The 7578-nt window shown below is 54.9% G+C and overlaps 1 protein-coding gene across 3 annotated transcripts, besides 3 other annotated features; it reads left to right on the plus strand.

Annotated features, from left to right (window-relative positions):
• ECM1 (extracellular matrix protein 1) lies at nucleotides 174–5854 on the plus strand. Of its 3 annotated transcripts, none has more exons than NM_004425.4 (10): nucleotides 174–344; nucleotides 1596–1646; nucleotides 1726–1827; nucleotides 1987–2067; nucleotides 2167–2247; nucleotides 2941–3263; nucleotides 3522–3896; nucleotides 4417–4637; nucleotides 4790–4877; nucleotides 5302–5854. In NM_004425.4, exons 1-10 carry the CDS (start codon nucleotides 275–277, stop codon nucleotides 5530–5532), a joined length of 1623 nt encoding a protein of 540 aa, NP_004416.2. In that variant the 5' UTR covers nucleotides 174–274; the 3' UTR covers nucleotides 5533–5854. The 3 variants fall into 3 exon arrangements, with proteins under 3 accessions (NP_004416.2, NP_001189787.1, NP_073155.2); NM_001202858.2 differs by having other exon boundaries at nucleotides 1726–1821; nucleotides 1900–2067; NM_022664.3 differs by lacking the exon at nucleotides 3522–3896.
• Nucleotides 2559–3429: an enhancer, noted in NCBI's record as "H3K4me1 hESC enhancer chr1:150482970-150483840 (GRCh37/hg19 assembly coordinates)". NCBI's record gives its function as "activates a minimal SCP1, AML or CMV promoter by ChIP-STARR-seq in primed H9 embryonic stem cells {active_cell/tissue: H9 hESC(primed)}" and the evidence as "EXISTENCE:reporter gene assay evidence [ECO:0000049][PMID:30033119]".
• Nucleotides 7262–7331: an enhancer, noted in NCBI's record as "active region_1689". NCBI's record gives its function as "activates an Ori minimal core promoter by ATAC-STARR-seq in GM12878 lymphoblastoid cells {active_cell/tissue: GM12878}" and the evidence as "EXISTENCE:reporter gene assay evidence [ECO:0000049][PMID:35858748]".
• Nucleotides 7402–7551: an enhancer, noted in NCBI's record as "active region_1690". NCBI's record gives its function as "activates an Ori minimal core promoter by ATAC-STARR-seq in GM12878 lymphoblastoid cells {active_cell/tissue: GM12878}" and the evidence as "EXISTENCE:reporter gene assay evidence [ECO:0000049][PMID:35858748]".

Consider the following 7578-nt stretch of genomic DNA (forward strand, 5'->3'; position numbering starts at 1 on the left):
GTTCTCCTCTAATCAGTCCCATTCTTCTCAATCCTCTGAGGAGGCTTCAGGGTGACTTTGGGAGGAGTGGCTTCCAGAGGAGGAGCAGCTGGGACTGAGTCATGGCAGGAAGCTGAGGAGGGCGGGAGATCACACCAGACAATTATAAAAGAAGAGCTGGTCCTGAAGCTCACAACCGTAACAGCCACCAGACAAGCTTCAGTGGCCGGCCCTTCACATCCAGACTTGCCTGAGAGGACCCACCTCTGAGTGTCCAGTGGTCAGTTGCCCCAGGATGGGGACCACAGCCAGAGCAGCCTTGGTCTTGACCTATTTGGCTGTTGCTTCTGCTGCCTCTGAGGGAGGTGAGTTGGGGGATCAGCACTTAGGAGGGGGTCTGGGCTTGCATGGCAGGGGTCTGGGTCCAGGCATCCCAGACGGCTCATCACTAGCAGAGTGATTCTCCGTTTGGCTTTCCTTTTCTGAGCAGGCCCAAAGTGGGCCTAGGCCAGTGGAGCCTTTAACCAAGGAGGCAGAGAGCAGGGGCACAGAAGGAGAGGGGTTCCTAGAAACTGCTGCCAAGAAACACAGAATCCCAGTCAAATAGACAACTGAGTGGGGGGTGGGTTCACAGAGTGAGGGTCTCCTGCTGATGAGGATGTAGGGAGGTGGCTGGTGGGAGAGGCAAGGGAGGGAAAAGGGGCCCCCAGGCTGCTCAAAACCGGATTGCTGGCCCAGCAAGCCTCGACTGACTCCCTGTCTGATTAGAGGAGTTGAGGGGTGTCCATCCACAGACCCACCCTCCATCCAGCACAAACACATTCTTTATCTGCTTTGATGCCTGAACAAAACAGGAACCCCTCAATGCTATGGGTGGAAACTAAGAAAAAAAGGAAAAGAAAAGGAAAAAAACCACCCAGGGCACTCCTGCAGGAAGCTGCTGAGGATGTCAGCAAATCTGTCCACTTCTCTGTGAAGCCCCATGCCATCATTCTTCCCAGCTCCTGGTCTTTTGTGTCTGCAGATCACCTACAAGTGACCCTTCCCTGTGCCTGTCCCAGTCCCCCAGGCCCTAAATTGAGACCTAAACTAAGGCGGAGCTGAGACTGGCTGAAGGGGAAGCACTCAACCTTCAGGAAGCCTCCTTAACCAAAGGCCTAAAGATGTTTCAAGGGCCTGGAGTAGGAGGGTGGGTGGAGGAGGTGGATTGGGTAGGCTCCAACCAGCTCAAGGTCCAGACTTTTTCCTCTGAAAGCTAGAGACGCATCCCAGCAGAGACTGGGGAGGACAACCCACAGCCCTGAGGGAAAGACTGGCAGAGGAAATGAGGGCCTCCCTCCCCAATCCCGTATGCCATACTCCCTTTAGGCCCAACCTCTGAGCCAGTAGAGGTGGAGCTATCAGACCGCCACAGGCTTTCTCAGAACCCAGCTGGTCATGTCTAGGTGTGTTGGGGCTGGGAGAGGATTAGGGGACACGGGGCAGGTGAATACAGAGGGGCATCTCGTGTCTTGCTTGTCTGTCCTACACTCTTGATCTCCACAGCCTCCCCATCCCTTGCTGAAGTCCAGGGAAGGCCCTCCCAGTGGCCCCTGACTTGCCCTTCTTCCCTCCAGGCTTCACGGCTACAGGACAGAGGCAGCTGAGGCCAGAGCACTTTCAAGAAGGTAAGAGTTTGGGGGAGCAGCATGGGATTGGGACTCCAGGAGGCACTGTGGGCTCTGATGTCTCCCCTCTTGCTTCTAGTTGGCTACGCAGCTCCCCCCTCCCCACCCCTATCCCGAAGCCTCCCCATGGATCACCCTGACTCCTCTCAGCATGGCCCTCCCTTTGAGGGACAGAGTCAAGGTAAGGTCACCATCCCATGCCCTCCTCAGTGACCCTCCAGGTTTCTAATCTGGCCTATATCCCACTTTTCAGGTGGAAAGGAGGGAAGAGGCCCTCGCCCCCACTCCCAGCCCTGGCTAGGAGAAAGGGTGGGCTGCTCACACATTCCCCCTTCTATAGTGCAGCCCCCTCCCTCTCAGGAGGCCACCCCTCTCCAACAGGAAAAGCTGCTACCTGCCCAACTCCCTGCTGAAAAGGAAGGTGAGCGCTTGCCCACCCTCCCTCACCTCTATCCCACTATGGATCCTGTTGACACCAGGCTGATCCCTGCTCCTTGGTGCCCTCACCCCTATCTTGCAGTGGGTCCCCCTCTCCCTCAGGAAGCTGTCCCCCTCCAAAAAGAGCTGCCCTCTCTCCAGCACCCCAATGAACAGAAGGAAGGTAAGCAGCTCCCTCTCTTCTTTACCCACCTTTACCTCATGGCCTTCCCCCAGAGCATGGGCTTCGGGGCAGACAAGACGGTGGGCTCTGCCACTCACCAGTTGTATAACCTTGGGTAAGTTACATACTTCTCCAAGCCTTTGTTTCTTCATCTGTAAAATTGAGGATATACCTGTTTTAGAAAGTTATGTGATTAGATGTGCAAAAATAGCATCTATTTTCACTTGCTTCTCTGCTGAGTTCTTCTTTGTGCATGTAAACTAGCCAGGCTTTCTCTGCTAGAGATGGCCATCCCAACATGGCTTTTGCTTACTCCTTCTACCCAGTAGACCCACCTCTTCCATATCAGGAGGAGATAATCATCCATTCCATGCCGAGAGAGGGTGAGTGACAGCTTTGGTCTGTCCATCCTCCTGCCTTAGTGCTCAGGACCCTGGGGAGAGGAGCAGGAAGCCCGAGCCTTGAGAAGCAGGAGGAGGTGGGGGCAGGCTGTGAGCTGACACCTTTCACACCTCGCTTCTCTTTTCCTTTCAGTTATTTTAAAAGGAAGAGCCACAAATTGTTCTTTCTCATTTCCACTATATCCTCCCAACCCTTTCTCCTCCACCCCAGATTCTTTCAATCCTCCCAGCTCATCCAGCCTTTGTGGGTTCCTTCACATGTCCCCGCTTCCCACTGTTTTCCCCATTCCAGGAACGCCAGCTCCATTTGGGGACCAGAGCCATCCAGAACCTGAGTCCTGGAATGCAGCCCAGCACTGCCAACAGGACCGGTCCCAAGGGGGCTGGGGCCACCGGCTGGATGGCTTCCCCCCTGGGCGGCCTTCTCCAGACAATCTGAACCAAATCTGCCTTCCTAACCGTCAGCATGTGGTATATGGTCCCTGGAACCTACCACAGTCCAGCTACTCCCACCTCACTCGCCAGGGTGAGACCCTCAATTTCCTGGAGATTGGATATTCCCGCTGCTGCCACTGCCGCAGCCACACAAACCGCCTAGAGTGTGCCAAACTTGTGGTAAGGTTGGGTTCTTGATGCCGGGGGGTGTCCTTTAACCCCAGACAGTATGTGTGTTTTAAGGGTTAGAGCACTAGGCCTGGGTCTGGAGGAACCTCAGGTCCCGTTCACTGGCCCTACCCTGGGCCTCCCCAATGTGCCAGGGGAGCAGAGGACAACCACTGTCTCTTCTTTATCTGCCTGCCCAGTGTCCTTTCCTGGAGCCTGGGAGGAAGGCAGGAATGTGGAAAGTGGGCTGATCCTCCCCTCTTGCTCTAGTGGGAGGAAGCAATGAGCCGATTCTGTGAGGCCGAGTTCTCGGTCAAGACCCGACCCCACTGGTGCTGCACGCGGCAGGGGGAGGCTCGGTTCTCCTGCTTCCAGGAGGAAGCTCCCCAGCCACACTACCAGCTCCGGGCCTGCCCCAGCCATCAGCCTGATATTTCCTCGGGTCTTGAGCTGCCTTTCCCTCCTGGGGTGCCCACATTGGACAATATCAAGAACATCTGCCACCTGAGGCGCTTCCGCTCTGTGCCACGCAACCTGCCAGCTACTGACCCCCTACAAAGGGAGCTGCTGGCACTGATCCAGCTGGAGAGGGAGTTCCAGCGCTGCTGCCGCCAGGGGAACAATCACACCTGTACATGGAAGGCCGTAAGTGGGCGTCCCAGCCTCCCTGAGAGCCTGTTTGCCTGCCTGCCCATCTTCGACCTCTGATCCTGCCAGTCCATCCATCCATGTACCCCCCCTGCTGTGAGTGCGTCCACCCGTTCATCTGCTTGTGGCTGTCCGTCCATCCATTGTGTTTGTCACCTGAGTTTGTTCATCTTGAGCTTCGTACTACACTTCTGGCCTCCTCCACTCATGATCCACACACGCATCTGTCTACCATCCATCCATCCGTCCAGCTCTGGCCTCACCTGACCTTCTCCATCCACTGTTCCAGCTCATCTCCCGGCACCAGCTTGGAACCTCATCCAGGCTTCCACCCGTCCACCTTCCCAAGCCCACACATCAACAGTTGCCTCCTAACCCTCTACTTTTTTGCCATTCCCTTTGGGCCTCTCGGGCTGGGAGCCCCTCATCTAGTTGCCAGGGACGATAAGGGAAGTCGATGGTCAGGAGAGAAGGGGCCAAGTGTCCAGCTTCTGACTTCCCTCTCTCTGGTCCACAGTGGGAGGATACCCTTGACAAATACTGTGACCGGGAGTATGCTGTGAAGACCCACCACCACTTGTGTTGCCGCCACCCTCCCAGCCCTACTCGGGATGAGTGCTTTGCCCGTCGGGCTCCTTACCCCAACTATGACCGGGACATCTTGACCATTGACATCGGTCGAGTCACCCCCAACCTCATGGGCCACCTCTGTGGAAACCAAAGAGTTCTCACCAAGCAGTAAGTTGCCTAGTCCTTCCCCACTCTCTTCCTTTCCCGAAAACTTCCTTTTGGGACACCTTTGGGAAAAGCAAAATCATGATATCCCAACCCCATCTGATGCCAGAAGATGCCCAAAGACCCTAACCCCTGCCCCTTTCACACCAACATAGTAAACATATTCCTGGGCTGATCCACAACATGACTGCCCGCTGCTGTGACCTGCCATTTCCAGAACAGGCCTGCTGTGCAGAGGAGGAGGTGAGTGTGTGGAGTCTAGTCTCCAGAGGAATGCAGGGGAGGGGAGGGAAAGAGCTAGAACTGCAGGCCACCCCTTCTCTTTAGTACCTCAAACCAGCCTTTGGTTATAATGACTAGTGGGGGAGGTGTTTTTTTCTTGGTTCCAGAAAAGTCTTCACTCTGACCTGGCCTGCTCCCCATCTCTAAGTTCCTATTATGCCTTCTCCGGGCCACAAGCTTCTGGCATTTCCAGATGTACACATTTGTCAGTCACAAGGAATCCAGCTGTGCAAGGCAGTCTTGTACTCTCTCTGGGCCCCAGGAGGGGAACGAGGGAGAGAGCAGTAGAAGCTGATGAAAGGGGGACTTTGGCACCCAAGTATCTACATCTGTCCTTGGACCACCTCCCCACCCCATCATCTGTTTTACTTTTCTCATTCATCAGAAATTAACCTTCATCAATGATCTGTGTGGTCCCCGACGTAACATCTGGCGAGACCCTGCCCTCTGCTGTTACCTGAGTCCTGGGGATGAACAGGTCAACTGCTTCAACATCAATTATCTGAGGAACGTGGCTCTAGTGTCTGGAGACACTGAGAACGCCAAGGGCCAGGGGGAGCAGGGCTCAACTGGAGGAACAAATATCAGCTCCACCTCTGAGCCCAAGGAAGAATGAGTCACCCCAGAGCCCTAGAGGGTCAGATGGGGGGAACCCCACCCTGCCCCACCCATCTGAACACTCATTACACTAAACACCTCTTGGATTTGGTGTCCTCATTGTCTATCTAATGTCTCACCCGCAGTGTTTTAAGTGGATCTTGGTGCCCTGGCCCAGGAGGGCACTGGCGTTTTCAGACACACCACAGACAAACACACCCTCCTAAGCCTGCTTGTATTTCCTTCAGTGCCTGGCCCCTGAGGCCCACGGCCCTGCCCCCTTCACTGAGCAGATGTTCACAGGCTGTGGGATGCGACCATAACTAAACAGCTTGACGTCACTTTGCCATCTTGAATTTATTCACATATTTTGAAAGGAGTGCCACCTTGTTAGCTAGCTATCAGGACTCAAAGAAGATATGGTTCTTGGCCTTGGTGAGCCCCCAAAATGCCACAGCCCAGCCTAACATTTTTAAAGCTTCACTTTTGATCCTTAGAATTCATGCCTTCATTCATTCAATATCCTTTTTTTTTTTTTCTTGAGACACAGTCTCGCTCTATCGCCCAGGCTGAAGTGCAGTGGCACGATCTTGGCTCACTGCAACTTGCAACCCTCCTGGGTTCAAGCGATTCTCCTGCCTCAGCCTCCCGAGTAGCTGGGATTACAGGCGTGCACCAGCACACCCAGCTAATTTTTGTATTTTTAGTAGAGACGGGTTTTCACCATGTTGGCCAGGCTCCCAAAGTGCTGGGATTACAGGCGTGAGCCACTGTGCCTGGCCAATATCCATTTATTGAACCCCTATCTATGCACACTCTGCTAGACTTGGGGATACACATCCAGAACACACACAGCCCCTGCCCTGAGGTTGTTCACTGTCCCTGAGCCTAGCAGGTGTGACAAGTGTTGTGGTACAGGGCCCCCAGCGTGCTCTGAGCATGACAGGAACGTCCCGAGGTGGGAGTGGGGCTGGGGGCAGCACAGGTGCACAGGAGGGGCGTTGAGGTCAGAGTTTCTCCAGTAAAGAAGTAGAGGGTGTGAGCGGGCAGAGTGCGCACAAGGGTCAAGGCTGAAAGGACCTGACTCTTTGGTGGCCTTCCTCTCTGATATGGCTGGAATGATAAGCAGGAGCTCATCACTAATGCCTCACCCGCAGGGTTTTAAGTGGATCTTGGTGCCCTGGCCCAGGGGGCACTGGCGTTTTCAAGCGGAGGATGTGTTCCAATTTGCCTTTTAAGAATGTCTAGGCCGGACGCACTGGCTCACGCTGTAATCCCAGCATTTTGGAAGGCCGAGGCGGGCGGATCACTTGAGGTTAGGAGTTCGAGATCAGCCCGACCAACATGGTGAAACCCCATCTTTACTGAATTAGCCAGGCGTGGTGGTGCCCACCTATAATCCAAACTACTCGGGAGGCTGAGGCACGAGAATCACTTGAACCTGGGAGGTGGAGGTTGCAGTGAGCCAGTATCGCACCACTGCACTCAGCCTGGCCGACACAGCGAGACTGTGCCTCAAAAATAAAATAAAATAAAATAATGTCTAGTCGGAGAGCCGGGGAGGTGGCGCGCGCCTGTAATCCCAGCCACCCAAAGAGCTATGGTCTCGGCACTGCACTTCAACCTGCGAGACCCAGTCTCAAAAAGAAAAAAAAAAGTTTAGTCGGCAGCCAGCAAGGCGGGACGCTGGGAGGCCAGTTCAAAGAGTGTCGTCCCAAGTGCCGGAGGGACGGAGCTGTAGCCCCCAACCTGAGCTGGACCCGAGGGTGGCGGTGACTAGGACTCTCAAGCCCTACAAAGCTGCTCCCAGGAACCCGAGGCCTCAAGGCTGGATCTGAAAGAATCGGAATGAAGACTCGGAATGAAGAGTCCCAGGGGAACAAGTCCTGTGTGACTCCGCCGCCAGGACGACCTTCCAGAAAGCAGACTTCTCCGCTCCAGTTCTAGCGGAGACGGAGAGAGTGAACCAAGAACCATCATCCTGCGCCAGCCAGGGGCAAGCGGAGCCTCAGTTGCTCCCAAACCCACGCCCGCCTCTCCTTCCTCTCCTCCTCCACAGGCTTTC

Source organism: Homo sapiens, chromosome 1 (genome assembly GCF_000001405.40).
Source record: "Homo sapiens chromosome 1, GRCh38.p14 Primary Assembly".
Classification (NCBI taxonomy): domain Eukaryota; kingdom Metazoa; phylum Chordata; class Mammalia; order Primates; family Hominidae; genus Homo; species Homo sapiens.

Bases quoted from the DNA above. Each gene is read 5' to 3' on its own strand.
- ECM1 (NM_001202858.2), top strand. From the start codon at position 275: ATGGGGACCACAGCCAGAGCAGCCTTGGTCTTGACCTATTTGGCTGTT. The intron at 1,647-1,725 runs GTAAGAGTTTGG...TCTTGCTTCTAG, and splicing joins GCCAGAGCACTTTCAAGAAG to TTGGCTACGCAGCTCCCCCC. The intron at 2,068-2,166 runs GTGAGCGCTTGC...CCTATCTTGCAG, and splicing joins ACTCCCTGCTGAAAAGGAAG to TGGGTCCCCCTCTCCCTCAG.